The sequence below is a fragment of the Homo sapiens genome, chromosome 2 (assembly GCF_000001405.40).
Source record: "Homo sapiens chromosome 2, GRCh38.p14 Primary Assembly".
Classification (NCBI taxonomy): domain Eukaryota; kingdom Metazoa; phylum Chordata; class Mammalia; order Primates; family Hominidae; genus Homo; species Homo sapiens.
In genome coordinates this window covers 214,509,198-214,536,921 of record NC_000002.12, presented here as the reverse complement: position 1 = coordinate 214,536,921, position 27,724 = coordinate 214,509,198, and the positions used below count along the sequence as shown (strand labels likewise).

Genomic DNA, 27,724 nt, shown 5'->3' with positions numbered 1-27,724 from the left:
AGGGAGAAAAAAAGCAATGCATGCTTGGGAATTTCAAGTATTAAACATTTATTTAGGGATAGTGATAGTTGCTATTGGGAAGAATGCTAGGGCATGAGTTTGCAGAATAAAGATGAAGTGAGATCATCAAGCCTTTGGTAAATCACGCTAGGAATCTTGACTTTATGTTGAAGACAATTGGGAATATTTCAAGCATGGAAGGAAGAGATTAGATATACATTTTTAGAAAACTTTCTTCATAGGAAGTGAAGGTAAAATACTTTTATATGATAATAAGAACATAAGATTAATGCTAATACTTGTTGGAAGGAAAGGTAAAGGAAGCTAAGTCTGTTTTTCCACAAAAAGCATAAGGGCAAATAGTCATTTCTATGCTTTTTTTCATTTTTACTCATAAATGTTAAGATTTTAAGATTCAACTTGATGTAGCCCAAGTACCAAATTTCCGATGGTGGATTAAGTAAGTGCTGACCAGTAGTCAATTTCCTAGCTGGCTGAAAAGTATCTAAACACTACAAGGTGTTTTCAATGTCATGAACTTTGCTTTAATTCATTGTGATCATGGGGAATACAGAAGGTTCTGCTGGTCCACCTAAGTTTTTTCTCATGTGAAAAGCTGACCTTGACTTGAAACTGCCCTGTAATTAACATACATGTTTATTGAGGGCTTATGCCAAAAAGAACCTGTGGTAGGCATTCAGCAAGTGTGTGTTTGATGAAAGAAAAAAAATCAAATCTTTAATTCAACATTCCAACATTCCAACAAGTTATTTACTGAGCATTTACTATGTGCCATGCAATATGCAAGTCATGGGGGCTCTAATGGTGAGCAAAAACAGGTCCTCACAGTGTAGTGTAATGGATGGATAAGAACAAAGTTAGGAGAAACACTTTGATTTCCCCTGTGCCAAAAAGAGATGTGGAAGGAAATTTAAATGGGTGTAACAGCAGGACTGCCCAGGTAAAGCTTAGGTTTGGATAGAAAGCCTGAAAACTGAGGTAATGTATCCCTATTCTCTTTTAGAGGGGAGTATATATTGCCTGCCTTATAAGGTCAGAGTCCTGTATCTTCTCTTTTTGTTGTTTCTAGGTACAGACTAGTGTGTGTGTGTGTGTGTGTGTGTTTCATTTTTCCAAATTATGTTTGAATTTCTATCATGATCCTGTTGACTTTTGTTATAAAATTTAATTTATCTAATTGATCTAAGTACTCTGTAGCTGTATACAGCCTGAGTCAGGCTGTCAGACCAATACCCAATACTTGAAATTGGGATGACTTACGCAGCTTTAAGGATCACCCTTTTGTTTATATTTCTAAAACAAAAGCTCATGGTTTATAAGCACAGTGCTGCTTGGATTATAGTATTTGAAGTGGCTGCTAATTCTGTTTGAATGTAATAAACCTGGTCTTTCCCATGAGAGAGCCAAGCTCAGATCACATTTCAATAGGCCAATGTGGATATAAGAACTTTTTGACTGGACGGTGGTGGGGTCGGGGAGGAGGGGTGGATGTTGGAAGAGCATGATATGGTATGAGAATCTTGGACCAGAAGGGTGGAGAAGAGCATGGGAACTTTAACAAAAAGTTTCTTTAGTATGTTCATTAATTTTATAAATCAAATGTCAGAAAGTAAAACTCAGTAAAGAATTTGACTGGTGATATTGCAAAAGATGCTTTGAGAAAACATTATAGGAAACACAGTTTTAAATACAAAATTGAAAAATATTACCCCAAATCAAGGACTCTGCTTTGTTTGCATATGATTTAAAGCAGACTTTATTGTTTAGCCTAAAAAATGTTTCCAGCTTGGAGGAAGCAAACTCCTAGGATCATTTTTGAAATACTGCCTATATTGCTTAAATGAAGCTTTCCTTTTCTTTATGATTCCATTCCGCCTATCCGTTTTTGCAGTATTTTCATAGCTGTGAAAGAAACTGAATGGGTCAGGCAGTCCAGAGACTTAACCTCTTTCCTAAGGCCCACTGGAAAACAATTCAAGGTTATTTGAAAATTTCCCTTGTTTTCACTAATATAACACTAGTTACAAGAACACTGCTTAAAAAGAGGGAAACATTTGCATCTGACATTACCACTTGATATGTATAAATTGGCCTACTCTTAGAATCACAGACTTTCAGAACTGGAGTTAACACTGGAGATAATGCCATGTAACCTTCTATTTAGTGTGAGAAAAGTCAGGCCTAGAGCACAGAAGAACCAGAACTTAATGTTTCCTAGATGGACATTTCTAAGGTATTTGAGTCAGTTTTTCTTTAATAAGATTTCTCTAGGATATCTATGATCTTGTAGGATGTTTACATTGCACAACTCCAGGGGGCACAGTTCACAATGTGGTGAATAGATGATGCTCCCAGAGTCATGCAGCAGCTCTAATTGGTGCATTTTCTGTATCTCCCACCAATGCTTTCTCATTGGTGGTGATGTATTTCTTTCTGTTAAAGTGGAAGGTGCTTGCAAACAATCCATAGGATTCTGTCCATATCACAACTGCAGTTGTTATGCGTTTTTATCAAAGAACGCAGAGATACAATGAACTGGAAACCAAAGAAATGCAATAATTTCTTGAAATCCTAAATTTTAATTGCAGCATGTGCAATTAAAATGCATAGCACCCAGGCCTAGTGATGGCCTAAGCAATATGCATTGCAGCACAATTGGCATTAGGATGCGACAACGGCTTCTGGTACAGTGAGTGATGTGTTGGCTCTATTTTACCATCTTGGCTGCAGCATTATCAGTACCTCAGACACTTACCACACATCTCAGAGATACCCGGTGTGAATCGGAGGGTCCAATTTGGCCCTATGTATGTCCCTTCTGTGAAACTTTTCTGGGGCCTGGCCCTTGATTCCAGCCACCAATATCTGCAACTGAAGGGAATCAAGCAGCGCTAGGGTTCTGAAGCTATGACCAAGAAAGAAAAAGAGAGAATTGAAAGCGTTTCCATCCATTTTATTGGCAATGACTCAAGGAAAACAGTTTAGAAATATTTATTAGAAGGGGCTCTCAGGAAGTCACCGTTACTTGGAAGGTTTATGGCTAAACTCTGACTGCTGTTATCCTTAGATAACTCCAACAATTTAAATTGTAGAAGCTGTATACAGATAATTCAAGGCAAGGTTGTGAGCATTTCCTAAAACCTTTTCTTTATTCGGTTGACTGAAACCAGAAAAATGTCTGTGTTTATGACTAGGGAAATTCCTTAAATCAGAGAATTCCATGTGGTTTTACTCTTGGGCTGAATTTGCATTTATATGAATAGGAATAACAACTGTGTCTTTGAGCGTTGGATCCTGTCTGTTATTTGTTTTTTCAATTACACTTATTAAATCTCTTGGCTTTTTTTTTTTCTTTTTCCCCTCTATGCCCTACAAGGGAGTTCATCACTTCAGATTATTTTAAAGATGAATGTGGAGGCAGAGACATTCCAAAGTGGAAGTTAGATAGCAAGTCAGTGGCAAAGCCCAGGGGTAGAGACCTGGGAAGACCAGCTGCAATTTGTGCTGTTTAATACTAGCAGCCTCGAAGAGAGCAGACCCATTACAGCTGCAGGCTTGTTCAATTATTCTAACTTTATCTTTAAATATTGCTAGAGCATCTCATAAGCTAAAGTGCTTTAATATATATACATCTGCATACATATAAATATACATACATATACGTATGTAATTACTGCTGAAAACAATCCCAGGAGAGAGATTTTCACATTATTGTGTTTCTGGGTTACAAAAGAAACTGGAGCATGGCAAGGTTAAGTGGTTTGTCAGGTAATCGCAAGCAGAGCCACGAATCAGATATGGTGATGTAGGCAGAATTTTGTTCTGCTCACTTGTAGAGGTTGTAGACTGTCCTGGGTTTCAGTCTATAAAAGAAGTCATGACTTTGGAAGTTGGTATAGGTATCACAAAGGATTTGGGTTGGTGAGAGGGTGTCACAGGAAAAAATGCAGGAGTCAGCCTGTCAGGGTCCCCTCTCTCTAGGTCACTGCTCCAGCATCTGTATTTCCAAGCCAGCCTCATGGGCTAATGAGGTTACCTCTGGCTGTTCCTATCCGGTCTCAGGCAGCAAAGACTCAGCTGGGAGAAAGTTTTAGGTTTCTGCTCTAACACCTGAAATGAGTTCTGCTCACTGCTCTTCACCCATACCCCATTATCAGTCAGTTGAAACCATCAAATAGAAAAAGCTGCCATTATCAGGTTTTTTGCTTATAAATACATGACTTAAAAAGAAACACAACAACCATACACAAAAATGCTTGATAGTTTTGTAAAAGCCTGCAGAATTACCACAGAGCTAAAAAATGAAGGGATATTAGCCCTTCTTCTTGTCTCCTAATTTCAATACCAACAAAAAATGGAAAGTGAATGTAAAAGACATTTCAACACAATCATAAAAGGATTATATCGAACTGTTAAAAAGAAAGGTGAGAATTGACTCCTCCATGGAAAGACTACTCATGTAATGCTTGGGGTGTCTGTTTCTTAGTGTGATAGCAATAAAATGACTTTTTTTTCCATAGTACATTTATCAGAAAAGCGTGTTCTTACCTCAGTAATATCCATGTGCGCAAAGCAAAAGATCAGATTTTATCACCAGCTTTTACATCTGGAATCTCAAGTAATAGTCATAATGATACTCCTAATATTATTACTATTCTTACTAGGAATTCTAGTTATTTATTGCTTCCCTACTATTAATATGTATTAGGTGCTGTGTAGGCATTTCCTATGTGATCAGAAGTGGGTTATGTCAACTAATGAAGCAGGTTTTTTCAGTCTCTGGCCTAGGTTTCCTATCTCTATGGTTACCTTTGCATTTCATGATCTCAAAATTTATAATCATTATAAATGTTACAACCATTATAATCACCCCCAGAGAAGTAGACTTCTTTTTCTCCCCTTAGCCTTTACTGAGCTGAGAGAGAAATAGTAGTATTGTGGTATGATTCCTTATGAAGATTGAAACACTGTAGATTACAGAACTATATCATTAGTGCATGTGTGGAAATACTATAAAACTGCACTTGGATATGCTACTCTAGTTTTTATTTCCACTCATTTGAAAAATTATGATAGCTAAGACAACTCTGGAAACCTGAAACGCAAGCATTCAAAACTGTTATTTCAACAAGAAAATAAGACCTCGGTAGCTTCCACTGATAGTCATGTTTTCATGTGGGCGCTCCCCTGGACAGTCACATGAGAAATTGCTTTAGCTGTACTGTCCTTTGGGCCACGGTACCTCTGGCTCTGCCTTAATGTGAAGGAAACCACTTCTGCAAAGAACCCACTTAAGAAATGGCCTTGCTTGACATCTGCCGACTGAAGAGCTTACCCTCCCTGAAAAACAGAACACTTTACTTGAAGGAAAAGTTGATTACCTGTAGAATAGATCTAATATTCTAATACAGAGAAAATGCAAAATTGCTCCTTTTGTTTTCACGTTTCTCTACTGAGCTAGAATGAACTACCTGTTCTTCCATACATTTGGAAGAAGGACTCCTGTACTAAGGAAGAAATAACTTCATCTAAAAAGCATTTGTTACTTCCAAGTAATAATTATTTGGCAGTGTTTCCTTATATCCTCAGTAGAAAAATTTGTCTGGACTAACACAGTCCACACACGATCAGAATGCGTTTACTCGTCAAAAGTCCTACAGATATTTGCTGTGTAGGTAGGGACTCTTACTTGCATTTTTCCTGTTTCCTGTGATTCCCAACTCAACTCAAAATTTGTAAAAATGTTGGTTGGAAGGTCCTTGGGGGAATAGCCACTTTCCTTTTCAACCTTATTGAGTCTACAGGCAAGTAGCAAGATCAATGCCGAAACACAGTTAAGTTCACTTAAGGATGAAGATGGAAATATCTTAGATTCAGGAAACATTCAAATTACTGTGTGGGTGGGTGGCAATATTAAACCACCCCCATTGTTGACATTGCTGAATTTTTTGTTTTCACCTATTCATCCTAACACGATTGCCAATGCAGCTACCTGAAAACACACAAAGTTAATATTGCTGTTTAAGCAATGGTTTAGAGATTTCAGGGGTCTCCCTTTTATATGGCTACCAGCTTAATGTTGTTTTAGTAATGAGCTTTGCTTATGAGTGGGCATAAATTTTATATAAGTATACATTATTAACTCGCCATGGGCTGAAAGCAGATATAACTAGGTCCCTGTGACACCAATTTATTTTCAGAGCTTGTACAAGTTACTTACAATTCACCAAAATTTGTTTGTGTCCCTAATTTTTCTTTTCTATCCTCTCACTGCTTGAAAGATCCATCTCCTTCCTCTTCTAGTGCCCCTTTCTCAACTCTCCCAGGAAGGTGTGAGCCCATGAATCAGGATTGGGGTCTATGTCTGCCTATCTTTTCAGCTTTGTCAGTGCTAAGAATGTGTTATTAATAAAGGATCAGCTGCCATGGGATGAGAGCACAGGCAAACATTACCTAATGTGTATTGTAAGCAAATGACTAAATGGGGATCAATAGTTCATATTATTAGAAAGTGTAGACTTTGCTACTAGTCGTCATTGAGCTCCACAGGTAATCTTGATCCCCTCTGCTTCTAGCATTAACTTTTCTCTCCTCACTGAGTAATTGCTGGTTGTCTTTGTTAACCACATGCCACAATGCTGTGGTAACGGTGGTGCTGTCACGACTTTAACATTTTAACTAAGGAAAGGTGAGCTGTGAAGGAGAGAAGGTTTGGCTTGAGCCCCACTTGGCACAAACTCATTTTAAAAAGTACTTTGCCAAGGAAATGGCAATGTAAGTATAGAGTAATTTCATTTTTTTCTCATATGGTAAGTTATTCTTTGACTACTGTAATTCTCATGACTTTGACATGCTTATTGCTGTTTCAGCTTTTGCTGCTGCTGTGAAACCTGAAGAACTACTAGTTCAAAGAAAGTTTTTGTTTTTAAACTTAAGATGCTAGTGAATCCACTGAATTGCAGGACTTAGTGATGGAGGCTTCTGGAACTGCCAGTTCCTTATCTGAGAAAAGATGAGGAATGAAACTACCCAGTATATGAGCGTAAGCATGAATCACTTGAACAGATGCGCATAGATGACTTGATAATTCCATCGATCTGAGATATAAATTAAACATAGTGACCGTTTGACTTCCTCAAACATTATAGTGATACCCCTGTGTAGAATCGATGCAATAATGAAAATGACTCAGCACTTTCCCTGTGAACCCGATTTGTAGAAAAGCTTCATAATTTAGATATAAAGCTGCAATGGAACAAAACCTGGACCTGGGAATGGCTTTGATACAAGTGCTTTTAGCCTCTCAAGCTTTTTCAAGTTGCCTCCATGGTTTCCAGTGCCTAAAGATGTAAATCAAATATGTGGTCTTGAGTGCTTGTAAGAAGAAACGGCATATAAAAAATAAAGGAGAAAACAGAGTTTGGTCATTGAGTTTCCGTAGTTTTCTTCAGTTTTAAAATCTTAGAAAACCCATGAACCAGGAACTGTTCATTGAAAAGGCAAATGGTAGCAGGGACATACTGAACCTGTCACGCTGGCTAGGAGCCCCTTGCCCTGGAGTCAGGGCACCCATGGTTGAGTTCCCAACTGCCCAATTTGTGATTTTGGTCACGTTAATAAACTTCTCTGAGATTCAGTTTCTACATGTTTCAACATGAAGAGATGATGAAATTTGCCTTGCCATACAACACGTTCACTTTCTCTCTAGGAATCCAAAAGCTGGCCTTGGGAAAGGACCTGTGCTAAGGTGGCAAGAGCGTTGGATCAGGACTTTGGTTTCAGATCCTGGTTTTGTCATTGTCTAGCTTGTGATTGTAGGCAAGTCCCTTACTCTCCAGCGACCAGTTTCTCACTTAAGGAATAGTGATGTATAATTTGTTTATGTATACCTGCTAACATTGGGTCAAGCTCTAAGAAATGGCTATTTTTGTAGGTGAAAATAATTGCATAATGGCAACTTCATATAGTGGAAGTGAAATAGGATTTATTGTCTCTAAAAATTCAGGAAGAGAGACTCTATCATGAACTTAATTGCAAAGAAAAGTTAATAAGAGATTAGAAATGATTAGAGAGAGAATGGTGTGTGGCTGAGGAGTGCAAGAGGAGCAGGTATTCTGCAGTTTCCTTTCTTTTGTTTTTTCTACTCTGTGTGTTAAACTCCCCGCTACTTTGATATGTTTTGTTGTTGTTATTTTTTGACATCACGAACATGGGTTTTGACAGACTGCTTTGCTCTGTAGTGATCTGGTTACCCGTGGCAAATGGTTCATTCTGGGTTCCCTCTGTGAAGCAGACTATAAAAAAAAAAGAGATGTAAATTTAAAAGATTACTCCCTGGCGATAATGTGAAACAATGGCATATTAAGAATAGTTGAAGGAACTAAAACTTTTATCTCAGAGAAAAGAAAAGTTAAGAGGATATTACAATTGTCTTGAGAAACATGAAAGGCTGGTGTGTATAAGAGAGGTTAGATTTATTCCACTTGGATTTAAGATACTGAAATACACCAATAAGTATAAGTCACTGTGGGGCTTATCTCTTCAAGTCAGAGGTCTTCAAACAAGAAAGTGTTACCTCAAGAGGTTGTGAATTCATGATTCATGAAGAATAATTACTTGGTAAGAACATCATAGCAGGGATTCAAATGCTGGAGAACCAGCTAGTTCTAAGGCTATTGTGTTTTCTTGCAATGCTTAAACTGTATGATTTCATGAATTATTGATACTTCCAGGGTTCAGGACCAACCAAGAGATAAAGCAGTCTCATTTTCTGAAAACATATTCCATTTACAAAGTGTTATAGAACTTTGAGTACAAAGTTTATAAAACACTTCGTAAGTGAAATATGTGAGCTTCAGTTTCCTCTGTTACTATTCACATACCCAAGGGATGATTTAAAATTAATTTAGCAGTTATATACCTTGTAATTTATTGTAAATGATAGAAATGACCTAATTTTTATCTCAGCTTACTGGTTGAGAAAGACTTAATATAGGGCAGTAACAATAAGTAAGGATGACTTCTTAAAGTAGAACAGATATGGAAGACTTCATTTATGCCATGGATACAACTATGGAGAACAATTTGGTGTTAATATTAATGTATTACTTAATGTCAAGTATATATTGGTACTTTGAGGCAATAAAATTGGTTTATTTAGACAATAAACAGGGAGAGGAGGGCTACCTTAGACAGAGGAGTCAGGGCAGGCTTGTGGAAAGACATCTCCTTTACCATCTCTTACCAGCTCAGATGGTAAGATGGAATCAGGCTAAGTACGATGTGAGGGACAGATATTCCAGGTAGAGATAATGACAAGTGCAAAGGCCCTGAGGCAGGAAAGAACTTGCTTCAAGGAATGGAAAAAAGCTAAGGTAGGGGAGAGTGGTGTGAGTTAAGAGGCCAGAAGCAGCAGCAGGCCACATCATTAGTTAAGGATTCCATTCTAAGCACAATGGAAAGTAATTGGAGATGGTTTTCTTCTTCTTTTATTTTTTTATTTCAACTTTTTAGATTTGGGGGTACATGTGCAGGATTATTACATGGGTATATTGCATGATACTGAGGTTTAGGATACAAATGATCCTGTCAACCAGGTAGCGAGCATAGTAACTGATAGTGTTTTGACTCTTGCCCCACTCCTTCCCTCCACCCTCTAATAATCCCCAGTATCTATTGTTGCCATCTTTATGTTCCTGAATACCCAATGTTAACTCCCACTTATAAGTGAGGACATGTAGTATTTGGTTTTCTGTTCCTGTGTTAATTTGCTTAGTATAATGGCCTTCGCTGCATTCATGTTGCTGCAAAGAACACAATGTTGTTCTTTTTTATGGCTGTGTAGTATTCTATGGTGTATACGTGCCATATTTTCTACCACGGAACCACCTATACACCAGCATGTGTCATATTTTCTTTATCCAATCCACTGTTGATGGATACCTAGGTTGATTCCATGTCTTTGCTATTGTGAATAGTGCTGTGATGAATATATGAGTGTATGTGTCTTCTTGGTAGAACAATTTATTTTCTTTTGGTTATATATGCAGTAATGGGATTGCTGAGTTGAATGGTGGTTCTGCTGTAAGTCTTTTGAGAATTCTCCAGATTGCCTTCCACAGTGGCTGAACTAATTTACATTCTCACCAGCATGGTATAAGCGTTCTTTTTTCTTCATCAGAGAGTTATAAGCAAGGGCGCAAGCTGGCTAACATGTGGTAATTAGGTTTATGAGAAAAGAAAGCCATGGAAGAAGAGAAACCAATAGGAAGAAACAGAATTTTCCCTATCCCTTCTAGAGAAGCTTACGATAATGAGGCAAGTCAAAGTGGAATTCAGCCAGGTTTGAATCCTCTTATATTTTGTGTCCTTATATAGGTGATGATGGCTTTCTTTATAGCAGGCTGTGGTTTTACTCTTAAATACCTCAGGTTGTAATTGTGTCACTTATTTTATTCTACAGTGAACGAATCGAAAAATGCCAAAAAGTATTATATGAATATGGGGAGGTGTGAGCAGGGAGGATTAATCCATTTTCACTTCACTCTTTAACCAAGTTTCTACATGGTGATGTAGCTCTAAATATATGTATAGAACTACATGGAAATGTAAGTAACTCTCATGGATAAGAAATGGCTTTTTTTCCTCTAAATATGTAACTTTTCCCCCTAAATGTTTCCATTTGTGTTCAGATATTCTCAGAGTATCCATTGTCTGCTTTGGAAAATATTAATAATACTTATTTCTCTGTGGATATATACGTTATTCTGAGCTTCCAGAGTGATTATATATAATAGATGAATATATAAAAATATATTAATAATATATGTTATTTATTTTTGGTATGACTGGGAAAATAAAAATTATAGCTAATACTTATTGGGTACTTATATGCTGAGAACATATATACATATAGAACACTGTTCCAAATGCCTTACATGTACTAAGTCATTTAATTCTCACAATAATGGTATGCGGTATGTACTACTTTTTATCCATATTTAATATGTGAGAAAACTGAAGCTGAGAAAGTCTTAGAAACTTGCTCAAACCACACTCACATTGTGTTTTCAGGGCCAAAGGTTTAACTAAAAAGCAAAAGGTTCCTTCAATTCAAGTGGACAGTTATTTGTTTTTAATGCTCATGTCACAACAATCATTGACTATTAACCTTAATGTTATTGACTGACTTTTTTCTCATAGCAGATGATCTTCTGCAGCCAGATTCAACTGATGGATCTGGGAGCATGGTAGGGATGTGAGGAATGAATTATTTCTGAGAGTGTTTCTTAGAACACCGGTCAGAAGAGGCAATTCCAGGGGGTTCCATGCCCAGAGCAGTTAAGAGAGTTATTGCCACATTCACATCATCTTTTTAAGGAAGTGCGGTGCACATTCATATACTAAAGAATTTTGAAAAATCACTTTCAAATCCAGCATTTCCCAAACTTATTGACTCTGGAAACAACCTCCTCACCCGGGTAACAGTAATCCTAATTTTTGTAGAACACATTTTTGTGAAATGTAATATTTTGTATACTCTGTTACCGAGTTGCTTACCTTGGGAATGAACTACTTGTGTGCAAACTTTTGTCTGTTTGCACACATGTACTTCCTGTCTTCTCCTGGTCCCCTCACCTGCCAGGCCTGAGGTTCATTGCTTTCCTCTGATTCTCAAAAAAATCTCTGACCCTCAAGGTGGTTAAAAATTCCAGATGGGGATTTTTCCTGAAGAAAAATGGACCGGATAGGATGAAATAGTTTTTCAGTTAGTGCAAAAAGAATTCACTAGGAACTAATGATCCCATTATTTAAAAGTGTATGTGTGTGTGTGTGTGTGTGTGTGTGTGTGTGTGTGAGGCAGAGAGAGAACTCTTCTTGCACCCAAGCTTTTCTAAACACAAACCACTCAATTGGTCTGTGGCCCTGTCTTGTACTTGACATTTCTAAAAACAAGAAAAAAAAAAAAGCCAGCCAAAGTGCCCTTGGCTCTGAAGATGTCGGTGGAAAAATAGAAATGAATTTATTGTGTGTTCCTCTAAACTTTGAGTCAAGATTCTATAACGGTCTACAATATATTTGGTGTGATAGTCAAATGATCTGATTCTTTTAAATAAGTTGTGAAGAGTTCAGTCTTTCATTTGAAGAGACGAGGGCATTAGTGAGAAAAAAACTGGGGCATTGATGCGGCATCATCAACTTCCTCACTCAGCTGTAATTACGTTCTAGAGTGTAATTAGGTTCAGGCAGGGACCATGTGGCTCTCACTTGCCACTGTATCCTCAGCACCTAAAACAGCGCCTGGCACATGCTAGTACTTAATAAATACGTGTGGAACGAATGCAGAATAGGTTAGAATCCAAACTGGGTTAATTACAATTTGTATTGCCCATAAAGGTCAGAGGTCCTTCTAGTTTAATCCCCTCATTTTTAGAGAAAACTTAGACTCCAGATCAGATCTAAGGGAGAAAAATCCTCAGAACGTGGCTGAGATGTACAAATTTTACTGAGGGTAGAAACTCTTAGAAAAAGAATGACCGGAAACAGACCTGGTCATCTTTAGAAAACAAATATTGTCCTTCATAGTGTTAAGGTGATATTTTGTGCTTGAACTTGTACTGTTTAACAACCAAGAATAATTTGGGTAGATAGAAACAGAAAACTGAGAGGTTGGCAAGACACAGGTACAAATGAAGAGGGGTAAAAGTTTGTCACGTGAGTTTTATTGCTGTTAGGTAGCAAAGTACATATTATAGTAATTTGCCTCTTTGAAAAAAATGCTGTATATAACAATATACTATGGTTCAATGTATTTAAAATTTTTCTTTTTAAAATTTTGTTCTCTTGTAATAATGATTTAAGATAACTTTATGACTATATAAGACATGGATTTTCTAATTTCCTTTCCAAATAAAGCTTAAATCAATCACATTACACGTCATAGTTAAAACAAACCCCAGAAATTAACAGTAAATTTAAGCATTAAATTAAGCACTAAAAGCAGAATATTTGTCAGGATTTGAGTCTTTTAAATTTTATTCAACTAATTAACTAATTTATTTATTTTGAGACAGAGTCTTGCTTTGTCACCCAGGCTGGACTGCAAGGGTGCGATCTCGGCTCACTGCAGCCTTGAACCCTCCTGGGTTCAAGGGATGCTCCTGCCTCAGCCTCCCGAGTAATTACAGTGGTGCACCACCACAACCAGTTAAGTTTTGTATTTTTAGTAGAAATGGGGTTTCACCATGTTGGCCAGGCTGGTCTCAAATTCCTGACCTCAAGTGATCTACCTGCCTTGGTCACCCAAAGTGCTGGGATTACAGGCATGAGCCACCACACCCAACCTCAAATTTAAACAATAATTTTATATTAATTTCTCAGTATCATCACAAGTAATTTTTTTTTGCATCTTAGAAAAAAATCTGTTTCTCAACTTGAAAAGTATACATTAAGATTTCTAAAATACTTTCCTTTCTAATGAAAAACCTTGAAATTCAAAGAACAACCAGCAAATTAGAAGATTGTGAAGCTATCATAAATGAGTTGGGCATCTCATAGAAAATGGGGAAAAGCAAAATGTGATCAGATTTGCAGACTGTTTTGGCTCTTGGAAAACAAGACATAGGTAACTCAGTAACACTTTTCTCAAGAATGCGAATTCCTCAAAGGGTTCTCTGCATTGATTCATGTTGTCACAGAGGTCAACAATTAGCAGAGACTGGAGTTAAAATGAAATAAGGCAATGGCATGGGGCTAGGGGATTAGGACCTGGACATTTTAGCCATTGAAACAAAGAGGAGTTATTACTAAATGATAGAATCATTATAAAAAGTTATTTCTCTCTGGACAAAACTCAACCAATAAAGTCTAGTTTGTTAATGCTTATTTCCACTTTGGTATAAATGTAGGACAGTGTGTCTGAATATATTATATAAACAAGCAACATGTTCTTCTTATATTAAAAAGAGTCAGCTTTGGGACATTTTCCTCTCATACAAATATTCTTTATTTTTTCCGTATTGTTCTGTGTATTGTGTTCTCAATATAAATATTTAACATATCAAGATTTAATAAAAGCCAAAACAAAAACAACAATTTGAAAAGTGGCTTCTTATTCTATAAAATAGCTATTGTATTCATCTATTGCAAATATGTATTTATGTAGCTTGTAATGATAATTAGGTAGTATGTTTTAAAAAATCTATCCAAATTTATCTTCAAAAGACATATTATAATGACTCCTTTTCAGATTTGTTAATATTTTAGGTAGATAGTATATATTTAAAATATTGTGTATATGTATGTAAAGACTAGAATTAGGGATGGATACCTCATTCTCCATGACACACTTATTCACATCACATCATATGCCTGTAACGAAACATCTTCTGTACCCCAATGTCTCCTGTACCCCATAAATATAGACACCGACTATGTACCCACTAAAAATTGAATATAAAGAAATAGAAGTGGAGGAGGAATCAGCAAAGAGGAAAAAAATGCAATTTTTTTTTTTTTTTTTTTTTTGAGACGGGGTCTCGCTCTGTCCCCCAGCCTGGAGTGCAGTGGCGCGATCTCGGCTCACTGCAAGCTCCGCCTCCCGGGTTCACGCCATTCTCCTGCGTCACCCTCCGGAGTAGCTGGGACTACAGGCTCCCGCCACCACGCATGGCTAATTTTTTGTATTTTTAGTAGAGACGGGGTTTCACCGTGTTAGCCAGGGTGGTCTTGATCTCCTGACCTCGTGATCCACCCGCTTCGGCCTCCCAAAGTGCTGGGATTACAGGCGTGAGCCACCGCGCCCGGCCAAAATACAATTTGTAAAAGACTAGGATTAAACATTGTCTAGCTATTATCTGGACTTTCGTAATGAAGTAAACATCATTTATAAACATAAGAACACATCATATTTATATCACTGCTTCCTGCCTGCTATGTTCTCAAAAGCTATTAAGATTAATGCTAATAGGAAGAAAGTACAATCCTCTCATTAATGCAGGAAGGACAAAAGTTGGATTCTGACTTTGCCTACCTATCTCCCTAATGTCGCTACTTTTTTGCTCATACAGATAGCATTTCTTGTGGCCAGAGTGATGTGCTGACAAGCCAAAGCCAAGATGATGTGTGCTGAGCTAGGCAGTTACCCATGTGGTATGGTTTCGTAGAGCAAGGAAGAGTTACTCCAGTTAATGATGCTGGTGACCCCTTGCCTTTGGGCAAGTCCTGGTCATTGTGAGATGTCCAGAGAACCTCACATTTACCTCCCTGAGGTAGGGAATGAGCTTACTTTCTGGAGAAGCTGGCCAAATTTTATTGGCAACAAATGTAGTAGGGGATCCTCTTATTTGGGGCAGACAGTTAAGATGACTTTTATTGCTTTTTATGATTAAAAAAATGCTCATTGACAAGAAAGCAAAAATATGTTAAATTAAGAGCAAGAAGAGGAAAAAGCAGGAAATGCAGAATTAGTTAAGCTAGAGTTTAAATACTGTCCCAGCCTCTACCCAGTTTTCTTGACTGAGTCATTTACTGCTGTAAATGGGGTAAAATTTTGCAGTGTTTTGAGGATTAAATGAGATGCTGCATGAAAATTATGTAGCATGTTTGCTCAAACTTGGTAGTTTTATTTATTTATTTATTTATTTATTTATTTATTTATTTATTTATCTTTGAGATGGAGTCAGAGTCTCCCTCTGTCGTCCAGGCTGGAGTGCAGTGGCGCGATCTCCACTCACTGCAAGCTTCGCCTACCAGGTTCACACCATTCTCCTGCCTCAGCCTCCCGAGTAGCTGGGACTACAGGCTCCCACCACCACACCGGGCTAATTTTTTGTATTTGTTTAGTAGAGATGGGGTTTCACCGTGTTAGTCAGGATGGTCTCGATCTCCTGACCTCGTGATCCACCCGCCTCAGCCTCCCAAAGTGCTGGGATTACAGGTGTGAGCCACTGCACCCAGTCCAAACTTGGTAGCTTTTGAATAATCATATATATTACTATTATTATTAATGATATATAAAAAAGCACTGATCTGTTATTCTACCACCAGATGCTAAAAATGTTTACACTTTCATGTATTTCCTTTCCTTTATTTTTCTGGCCATAGTTCTACATTGTTGAGATCATATCGCATATGTAGTTTTGTATTCTTTGTTTTAATGCAATATAGCATCAAAAAAGAATACTGTTTTTTGTCTACCAAATTGGCAATGATGATAAAAGATAACACTTGATGCTGGCAAGTGTGAGAGTTGTGGGCACCGTTGTGCATCACTGGTGAGAATATCAGCTGGTATAACCTTTCTGGAAAGCAATTTGGGAAATATTGTTCAAGAGCATTAGAATTCTTTTACCTTTTGACCTGGTAATTTTACTTCTATATCGCCAGTCTCGGGAAATAAGTGAATCATGAACAAAGACTCATGGTCAAGGAAGTTCACTGAAGAATCATTTATAAAAACCAGAGTATAGAAATTATTACTGTCCACCATAATGAAACTGCTTCATAAGTTATGCTACATTAAAAAAAAATGGAATATTTACAGACATTAAAGTCCCATTTTCAAAGAATAATTGATTACATGGAAAAGTGTTTTTGACATGATGTTACATAGGATGAGCATCATGTATGATGCAAACCCCCAGGATTCTAATTTTGTTTCAAAAAGAAGCAAGTATATATGGGGAATGGGCTGGAAAAATGTATGCCCAGATGTTATCAATGATTATCTCTGGGTGGTGGGATTATATATTCATTTTTTTCCCTCAAATTTTGAGAAATGGACCTATGTAAACACAAGACATCTACATAAGTGTGTGTGTGTGTGTGTGTGTGTGTGTGTGTATAACAGGAGCAAATATTCTGAGAATTTCCCCATACCATAAAATTAAAATTTCCGAATTATGTATTTTTAAGAGCTTTAGAGTGTTTTATTTTTGTGGAGCCATCTTAATGTGTATTTACTCCTTTTTGGTATTGTTTGAAACATGTAGATTATTGTAATGTATCTCTTTGCACATATATAAATCTTGATTTGCATTTATAGACCATTTCCCTTGTGGTGCAGAGGCATCATTGGGTCATGCGTGTGAACCTAGGGGGAGTCAGTTTGGGTGCAAGTGAATGCACCAACTGAATGTGCACCTTCAGAGCAAGCTATGGGGAGAAAATGGGACCATCACCATAGACCAGTGGAAAGAAACAATATGGCATCTCTACGGAGGAAGCGAAAGGCTTTTGTAATTGGAGACCAGGCTACTAATACTCTGAGAAAGACCACTTGAGAGAGAATTTAACCATCACACTGTTGTGGCCAGTTCCTGTTTTCTTTTATTTATCTTGAAAATTCTTTCAGATTCCTTTGCCTAATTAGGCTCTTGGTTTTCAAGACACACTTGTGGTATCATGGTTTCCAATGTGGGCAAAGAACAGCTGTCAGAGCACTGTGTACCTACTATCTTTGTTCCTATTGTCTTTGCAATTTACGTTATATTGACATGATCTATTTGCATAAGTGGACTGCTTGCCCTGCTCTCTTGCATTCTTCTCAAGGGCAGAGACTGTGTTTTATCATCTTATATTTCTAGGACCATGAAAGGTGCTTGGTGCATAGTGGGTGCTTCATAAATTTTTTCTTCGGTGGGTGAAAGAGCAGCAGTACATGGGTAAGAAGTGGGAATTCTAAATGGAAGAACAGGTTCTGAAAAAGAACAGGCTTTGCAATTCCAGGAACACATGAATCTCTGCGTTTCCTCCCTTCCTTTTATTCCTCAATCGCACTGATTATGACTAAAGCAGCATGTCTTTCATGCTAAGGTTTTTCAAAAGAACGAAAGTTTGTATAAGCAACCTGAAAACCTCCTTTTTGTCACAATGCTCATTGCAGTCAAGTCTTTTCCCCATAGGTCTAGGATTAATGTGCTACTAGTAAGGGATATTGGCCTTCTAGTAAGATCAAATATGCTCTTTGATGGGCATGTGGAAAATAAAGTGGATACTCCCCTTAAAAATGAGAGGGCTTTGTAGAAGTAAATTATCATAGGTGAAGGTTAATATTTGCATTGCAATTTATAAATTAAAAGTGATTTTAATCTAAATTATCTCATTTAATTTTCTGATTACTAACATTCTTTTGGGGATAGAGTCTTTCATTCCACAGTTTCAGGTAAGGCTTTAAGATATACAGTACTACTGAGAAAAGTAATCCCAGGAGTGGTACTGTTATCAAATCATTTTCTACTGTGAGGTATTCGAAAGTAGAAAAATCCTGCTGTTGAAGGACAAGGAAGGGGGAAAGTGCCATAAAACAAATATGCAGACTAGAGACAAGCTTTTCATGCTTCACAGTATTTCTTGTGCTAGTCCTGGTTGGAAGAAGGGAACTTAGCTTGGCATCTATCATAGTTCTCCCCAATTGAACCCTAACTTTAGGCCAACTTCTCAGCCAAGTTCCCTCAACTTTTGCCAAAGACCTGCATCATCATAATGTCATCATCATTTAATGTTTATTATGTGTCAAGTGCTATTCTAAGTGCCTTATATAAATTATCTAAATTAATCCTCCAAGGAACTAATGAAATAAGTTTATTTTATATTGTTATACATACTACATATGAGAAAACTGAGGTATCTTGCCCTAGCACAAAGAAAATAGTTGAATACAAATTTAAATACAAGTAATTTGACTCCAGGCTTTCTATCAGTTGACATACAGTACTAATTCATTTTTTTTTTTTTGAGACAGAGTCTTGCTCTGTCATCCAGGCTGGAGTGCAGTGGCATGATCTTGGCTCACTGCAAGCTCGGCCTCCTGAGTTCACGCCATTCTCCTGCCTCAGTCTCCCAAGTAGCTGGGACTGCAGGTGCCTGCCACTACGCCTGGCTAATTTTTTGTATTTTTAGTAGAGACGGGGTTTCACTGTGTTAGCCAGGATGGTCTCGATCTCCTGACCTCGTGATCTGCCTGCCTTGGCCTCCCAAAGTGCTGGTATTACAGGCGTGAGCCACCACGCCTGACCACACAGTACTAATTCTTTTAATTGTTATCTTTATTTGCTTTCTCATGAGTTCAAACCATCTCTCTATTCTCCCAGTCTCTTAAGTAGTACTTTATAAATGTGGCCTTTTTGGCATCTTTTAACCAATATTATGCCTTGTATTATCACCATTATTTTACAAGTGTTCTATATTTCTTATTTTCTTTGCTCTGGTGTCATTAAACATTTTCAGTCTTTTGTGTTCATTTATTTGCTAGTTTTTACCCCATGGAATCTTTCTATAAACTGCTTCTTCCTCCTGGGATCTGCCTTTACTTCTCTTATTGCATCTAGGTCAATGTTTTGCCATGTTGGTCCCACAGTGTAATCAACTGGGGAACCTAAAGAAGAAATACTGACACCTGGATCTCATGCCTAGAGATGTTAATTTACTTGGTGTGGCTTGGGCAATATGAGTTCCAAAAGCCCTCCAACTGATTGAGACGTGCAGCCAAAAATTGGAAACCACTGGCCTGTTCATTTTCTGTGCATCTTACCTGCAGCAACTCCACCTTCCTCACTGCAGTCCAGTGACCCTGTAGCCGCCTGTCATAACACTACATAGCTCTCCTTTTTAGCTCTTAGACAACTGGAATTGGTAATGCCCATACATAGGAAGGAAACCTTGAGAGTCTGGGGTACTGAAAGCCAAGTGAAGAAAGTATTTTAAGGAGGAGGTGTTAATTAACTGTGTTACATGCTAAGACACAGAAGATGAGAGCAAAGATTAGAACAACGAATTTAGAAACATGGAGGTCACTGATAATCTTGACAATGTCATTAGAGATCATTTGAGTGGCAGGGAATAAATTTCTGAGCAGAGAACAAAAACATTGATGATGCAGGGGAGAGAGCAAAAGTGAGAATGAGAGTGAGAGTGAAGAATTGCTAGGGCAAAATTCTTGGGTAGGCATAAGAAGATAGGGTTTAGTGTACTTTGTCTTATTTAATCCTTGTAATCCCTAACAGGAAGATATTATTTTTCTTTTTCATTTTACGTATGAGGAAAGTGAGGCTTAGAGAAGTTTCTAACTTGTATTAAGATCACAGGGCTCATAGTTGCTAGACCTGGGACCAAACGTAAGTCTACATGCCTCAAAGCTCTTAAAAACTATATTTCCTTGCCTCTTGTTGGTAAAGAAGACCCTCTGGTTGCAGTTGAACTAGCTTTATATACATTTCTTCCCCAGCTTCCTTTTTTTTTTTTTTTAATTTCAAAAGGCTGTTTCTCTGGCAGCACAATTTTGCTTAACGATAAGCTATGCATAATCGACATAAACTAAAGCTACCAATGCACTCTTTAGATTAAAAGAAATAAATCTTTGGAACCTCAAGCTCTGACAAAACTATTGAGCCTATTAGCTTTCTATAAATTGTGACAAAACTGCCTAGTCTGGTATCTTCTGGTTTTGGGCGTGCTGGTGTAGCCCTTACCCACAGAAACAGTTGATTCACAAGATTCATTGTGGTCTTGAAGGAGCCTCATAGCAGCTCCTGGCAAGCCATGCTGGAAACAACTGAGCATTGATCACTGAAGCTTAGGAGGCAGGGGATGAGGGCTGTTGGGTGAGAGCAGCGTTACACTTAATCATTTATGAGCTGACTCCTGGGGCGATACACCGAGAAGAGTGATGTGTTGATCAAGGTCTATGCAGCGGGTGGGAGGGAGCCCTGGTTTGTAGTATTTGCCAATTGTGGTGGTGTAAATACTCCCCGTATGGCTAATTTCAAGTTATCAGTATGAAGTCACTGAATGTGAGTCAGGAAGAGATGAAAATAATAGACTCTCAAGAGTCTGTGCCAACTGGCTGCAGCACACCATCACCTATGAAATAAAAAGTTCTCACCTGTATCTCTCAGTGGATGCTCTCATTCATTCTTAGAGGTGTCAAGCACTTTCTGAGGCAGCATAAAGAGGTAGAAAGAATGTTGTGTTCAAATTTCCAAGAATAGAGGTCTGGTTCTGCTTCAGTCAATAAAATTAGCCATGTGGCCAGGGCACGGTGGCTCACTGTAATCCCTGTACACGCTGGCCTGTAATCCCAGCACTTTGGGAGGCCGAGATGGGTGGATCACCTGAGGTCAGGAATTTGAGACCTGCCTGACCAACATGGTGAAACCCCATCTCTACTGAAAATACAAAAAATTAGCCGGGACTGGTGGTGGGTGCCTGCAATCCCAGCTACTTGGGAGGCTGAGGCAGGAGAATCGCTGGAACCTGGGAGGCGGGGGTTGCAGTGAGCCAAGATTGTGCCATTGCACTCTAGTCTGGGTGACAGAGCGAGACTCCGTCTCAAAAATAAATAAATAAATAAAATAAATAAATAAATGAAAAACCATGTGGATTTTGCCAACTCACTTGTTTTCTTTGGACCCTGATTGGGAAATGAAGCAGCTGTCCCTTTAAGGCTCTTGAGAGTAGGAAGATGCTGTGATACAGCCGCACACAGGATGCTAGAAGTCAGCCCTCTCCTCCACAGGGGTGGAGGAGAGCTCCTTGTAAAACTGTGTGCTATATTGTACTTTTAGGTTTCAGATGAAAACCTTGTCTGTCTTTAGTAGCTTGCCCATGCTGTTCTCTATCACTGTGGCCTTTGAGATTTCTCAAAGAAACCAGCAGGGATGTTCGAGGTTGTTCACATATGATATTCCCAACGAGGCTGTCTAAATAGTAAAAAGGAGTATGCAATCATACCATATTCCTTCTCATTCCGAGGACAGATAGAGCTGCAATCCTAACCTTTAATTTTATGGCTTTCCCATCTTTTGCTAACCCTTTAACATTATATTAACAAAAGATGGACTGGGTGGGGGCAGGGAGGGACTTAATGCTTTTTATGATGTATTTTAACATTTTTATCTCTTCTTGAAAAAATAAATTTGCCACAGGAATTAAAACTGTATTTTATCCTTTTAAATGCAGCCCTAGATGATGTATGTAACTGCACTGGCAGCAAGTCAAGTCTGCACAAAGCCCAAATTGAATCTTCCTTCTGACTACAGCTGTGCATGATATTTTATGCAATTTTTTATGCTGGTCATAAACGAGGTGGAAACTGTGATTATGCCAATTTTGGGATAACACATTTTCACCAAAAAGTGACTGTCAGTGTTCAAACATGTGTATGTATTTACAGGATCCAGCCCTCCTTTTCTCATCATTAGATAGTGGGCTGTTGACCCAGTAACAGATTTCTAGGTGAAGTGCTATAGGCACTTAATATCCTATTGTTGTAGGACACAGGATTGCAAAAATGTATCATGATTTCCTCTTACTATACTGTCTGCTTGGCAAAATGTTGCCCCTTCGCAACTGAATATGCTGAAGTGGAGGGTGGGATTTAGTTGTAAAAATAACTAAGTTTACTACTATTCCATTATTTCTCTGTATCTGTAACTGCACTATATCCATATCTAGACAGAGACTAAAATGAATGGAAAGGGAGATTTCAAATAGGCTTGCAAAAATTTGCCCTGATATTATAATATCATATTCCACTGTTACATAAAATTATGTTAAGAACGAAAAAAAGTGTTACCTAAAGATCAGAAATTGCTGCTTTTCTGTTTCTTTTACACTTGACATAATACAGATGCTTTCTGTCTATGTCTGGTATTAACACAGAGATTACTGTTAGATGATTTTAGTTGGGAGACTACACAGGGAAAAATTAAAACGTTAAGTAAATGATTACAGAAAAAAAAAAAACCTTTGATATGAACCTTAACAACTGCTTATCCAAATTAACATGGCATTACATTTAGTGCTGTAAAGATGAAGTCGTTTGCATGAGTGTGTGTATATGGGCTGAACCATCAATCAGTTCTCATTATAAATAAAACCCCAAGCCAAAGATACTTGCTCCATCAACATCCTGCTGTCATCTCCAAAGACCACTTCTAGCAGCTGATGTCCTTTCAACTTGTTGACTGAACTGAGGATGCCATGCCACTGGCAGAGGGCAATATGGCTGCTACTGGTCATATTGAAGGGAAGACTTCATACACCTGAGAATTTGTCTTTAGAGCTTTCCGGAAGATTTGAACTAGAGACTGAGCACTTGTGAGGGGTGCTAAGAGGACACTCTTGCCTTGTATAGAGGGTTCTGTTTTATAACTTGTGTTTCCCAACTTGAGGATCATTTATTCTATGAAGGAGAGATGGCTCGATAGAACCATCTGTAGCAAGCTTTGATTGGCACTAAATAGGTCCTCCAAAATTATATATTGAATAGCTGAATGAATGAGTGAATGAATGAATAACAGATATGGCCACATATCATGTTGGACTCACTTCCATTCATGTCACAGTTCTAAGGAACAGCAATAGTGAAAATCTTCTCTGCCACGTTACGAATGTTTGCATGGAATTCGTCCCTGAAGATTAAATGTCAAATGAGAATCTTTCTGATAACAGCCTAATGGTAAAATGAATCATACTTTTTACATCTTCAGAAACATTGCCCAGGACTATGATTTTGGCATTCTGGACGTCATTCAATAATCAGCTCACAAAACTATTTGCCTGGCTTGCATGATTTTGTTGGATGTTTCTGATTGGGAGGGCCAATTGATTGAATTTCAAGATGAAGGAAGCCCTGCTTTGAAGGTCAGGGGAAAGGTCTAGTGCATGAAATGATTGAGGAGACATTCCTGGGTCTCTTTGACCCGACAGTAATCACTTGTCTGACCAAAATGACATTCATTTCTAAAATGTTACCATCAGTGCTAGGCTGGTTCTAAGGTTTCCCTCATTTGTAGCTGTGCGATAATCTTTTACTTAACTGAGCCTGATGACCAAGATGCAGCTTTCCTTTTTCAACAGGGCTGTGCAGCCTTTATCTACTCATCATAGTTGGACTATCACTCTAGTAGATGCTATAAACATTCAACCTAGAAAATCACCAGAGTTTCAGTGGATTCTGTAAGGAGCCAGCCTTGAAAAACCAGTGATGTTTCAGGAGGACCTTCTTAGCACGTATTTTACTTAGATACTGTAGTTTATGTGATCATTTTACTTCTAGCTATAATTCATCATCCCAACCTGGATACATAAAGTCATAAATGATTCCATTCCAGTTATATCCACTTATGCATTCTTCCTGTAGTCTACCACTGTTGTATGGGGAAACTGTTACTTTTGACAGCTCTTAGGTTTGAAATTCTTGGGTGTTGAAATTCATCCACCTACTCTTTTACATTTGGTCATTGGTTTGTAACATAAATCCTACTGTTCATCAGCAGGTACATGTCCATTGACAAAAATTTTTAGAAAGTGAGAGTAAAATTTTTTTTTTTTTACTTTTAAGTTCAGGGGTATATGTACAGGGTGTGCAGGTTTGTTACATAGGTAAATGTGTGTCATGGGGGTTTATTATACAGATTACTTTGTCACCCAGGTATTAAGTCTAATATCTATTAATTATTTTTGCTGCTCCTCTCCCTCCTCCCACTCCCCACCCTCCAACAGGCCCCAGTGTGTGTTGTCCCCCTCTATATGTCCATGTATTCTCATCATTTTGCTCCCACTTATAAGTGAACATGCAGTATTTGGTATAGTGAAAATTTTGAAATGCAAATGATTCTGATCACCTCATGATAGCATAGGTATCCTGAAGGTACAGTGAACTTGGCAAATGAAAGACATGCTGGTTTATTTTTGCTTGGCCAGGTAGCAACACAGTTGCTTGCTAGCAAATCTGTTGTAGAAAGAAAAATTTATTTTAATCAGTCTTGTGTGCACTCTATGAAACCATAATCAAGTGATATCAAGACTATAATCAAATATGATCAAGTGAAATGGATAGTCCATTTGTGAGAGAGGGATGGCTTGTAAATAATATGTCTCAAAAAGAGAAACACTAATGAGAAGGGTAAGCATTAAGTTCATGACTCTTTGGGGATCATGACCAGGTGTGTGTGTGTGTGTGTGTGTGTGTGTGTGTGTATATGTATATATAAAGTAAAGTATATCTATATAAAGTATATATATAAAGTATATATATAGAGTATATATATATAAAGTGTATATATATATATAGTGTGTTGTGTAACTATTATTTCATCCAATTCAACTTTCTTACACTTTCAGTTTAAATAATGAAGGGTTTCATGAGATTATATACCTTTTGTGGAGAAATATATATTTTTCAGATGTGTGTGCTAGTATGCTCAGACTGCCATAACGAAATACCACTGGGTAGCTTAAACGACAGACATTTATTTCTCTCAGTTCTAGAAACTGGGAAGTTCAAGATCAAGGTGATGGCCGATTCAGTTTCTAATGACAACTCTCCTTTCAGTTTGCAGATAGGCATCCTCTTCCTGAGTATTCACACGGCAGAGAGTAAATAAGAAGGAGAAATTGTCCCAAATCTCTCTCTCTCTTCCTCTTCTTATAAGGCCACAGTCTTACGGCATTAGGGCCCCACCCTTATGACCTCTTTCAATCTTAATTATCTCCTAAAGGCTCTATCTCCAGACAGTCACCTTGGTGATTAGGGCTTCCATATGAATTTGAGGGGGGACCACAATTTAGTCCACAGTGGTTTGGCTACAGATTTTCATTTTTTGGTCACTTTAACAATTTTTTTTTCTTTTTTGAAACTGGGTATTGCTCTGTTGCCCAGGCTGGAGTACAGTGGCATGAACATGGCTCACTGTAGCCTTGGTCTTCTGAGTTCAAGTGATCTTCCTGCCTTGGCCTCCCATGTAGCTGCATTTGGCTAATTTTTAAATTTTTGGTGGAGATGGGGTCTCTCCATCTTGCCTGGGCTGGTCTCAGACTCTTAAGCTCAAGTGATCCTTCCGCCTTGGCCTCCCAAAGTACCAGGATTTCAGGTGTGAGGCACCATGCCCAGCCTTACTTTTACAAATATTACATATAGGTTCAAAGTGTTATGTTGGTGGATACATTCATTGTAATCTTCCTATCTCAAGGTCAAAAACTTAATTACATTTGTAAAGTACCCTTTGCCATGTAAGGTAACATAATGACAGGTTCTGGGGGTTAGGATGTGGACTGACATTCAGGGTTGCCTTTATTCTGTCTACCACATGAGCCAAGAGTAGAGCAAAATCTAGGATTCATTCATTTATTTAGTAATTGTCTTTTAGGGAATAAATAAGTGCCAGGCAATACACTCTGTGTGTATATTTTTAAATGGTTAAAAATGAGATTCTGGCTGACTGGAGGAGTCACTAGGCTTTATCTGTGAGGATCAGGAGAAGTCCTAAGTTTAAAATGAATTTTGCTTCAGTATTTGATATTAGATTGACAAGTCCTTCCTAGAACTGTGAGAGAGGAAACTAGAAGTAAGTTAATCTACTACATAAAGTTTTAAATAGGGAAGAAGAAAATCTCAGAACCACAAAGTACCTTGTCGGTTTTTCACAGAAGGATAAATTGAATGATACAATGTGGGGGAGAAACTGGAAATAATACTGTTTTCTTAGGAGACTGTCTAGAACTAACAGAAAGCGGCTCCAAATAGAGGGGCCAGATAACATGTAAATGAATTAAATATTTAATGCCTACTCATTAATGCATAAAGGGAATAAATTATATTTTCTAAACATTTCAGCACAGCCACAGAGACCACAAAAGTACAAACATAATTGATCACAATCTATGATAATCAATTCAGCTTACATCTGGATCCCATGAATTAGTTATTAGGACTGACAACTTCAGAATGAGTATCAACTGGCTTTCTGATTCTGAAAAAAGAGGGATAGAATAACATAATGAAGCTTGGGATTTAATTTAAAAGCAAAGGCAATCAAAATTGAGTCAGGTGACTTCTGTACCAAAATCTTACGTATTTTGTAATCCCATAGTTTCAACTGGGATCTTATTTTACTAGTTTATAGTTATATAAATGATAAAGTATATTTAGCCAATAACTTTACTTGCAAAAACATCTAACTTTCATTTTAATATGGCATTCTGATCAAACTTGTTTGTTTCCTTCAAAAGGCCATCCTTAAATTGATAATAAAGAGGTTGATTAAAATATGTATAAATCCACAATCATGAAAAGAATAGGAAGGGAGCCATTATCAGCAGAAAATGTCAACAGCTATCTGTTAGAAAGAAAATAACTGAGCTTTAAACTGGGGTAGAGAAAGTTATTGCTGGAATTCTGCAGTAAGGGGTTACAACCAGAGAGTCAATATGACCTGCAGGACCCAAAAGCAATTCACTTCTCAAAAACACAGGAAGGTGGGAGAAGACAGTGAGGAAGAGGATACCTGAAAATGACTGTCTTCAAATCAGCTGCATTCCCGCTACCCCTCTTACCCTCTACTCCCACTTCCATCCAAATCTACGATATCCGGGAGTCAAGGCTTCCACCTCCCAGGCAGTGCAATATCATCAACGAACACATTTTTTTTTTTTAAGTAGCAAAGTTTTTCTTTAGAGAAGTAGAAAAAAAAATTCTGTCTTGGGGTATATAGGCTGTGTCTTGAAACTAGAGACTAGAATAGCAAGTAGAGTTATAATAGCTAGTATAGATTCAAGAACAAAATATCTAAATTTTATTAAGTAGGAATCTCCCAACAAAATAGCCTTATATTACTATTTCATCAATTGCCTCATGTTTAAACATGAATGTACAGTCAAAGGTAATACATACGTTAGGAAAATTCAGTCTCAGTTTAGATGC

General features: G+C 37.8%; 1 protein-coding gene and 1 long non-coding RNA gene across 4 annotated transcripts in view; both read right to left on the bottom strand.

The window, feature by feature from the left end:
• The window catches only part of VWC2L (von Willebrand factor C domain containing 2 like), a 167,923-nt gene that overhangs the window by 42,055 nt on the left and 98,144 nt on the right, over positions 1 to 27,724 (bottom strand). The window contains exon 4 of one of the 3 annotated variants that reach the window (NR_159945.1): positions 2,777 to 2,926. The exons of the other annotated variants lie outside the window; for them this stretch is intronic. The gene's annotated coding sequence lies outside the window, so the exon portion shown is untranslated. The remainder of the gene's footprint in view (positions 1 to 2,776; positions 2,927 to 27,724) is intronic. 3 annotated transcript variants of the gene reach the window in all.
• Positions 32 to 26,740, bottom strand: VWC2L-IT1 (VWC2L intronic transcript 1). Its single transcript, NR_047698.1, has 4 exons — positions 26,707 to 26,740; positions 11,581 to 11,748; positions 2,777 to 2,926; positions 32 to 160 (listed from the first exon to the last, which is right to left on the bottom strand). It is a non-coding gene; the product is annotated as a VWC2L intronic transcript 1 (long non-coding RNA).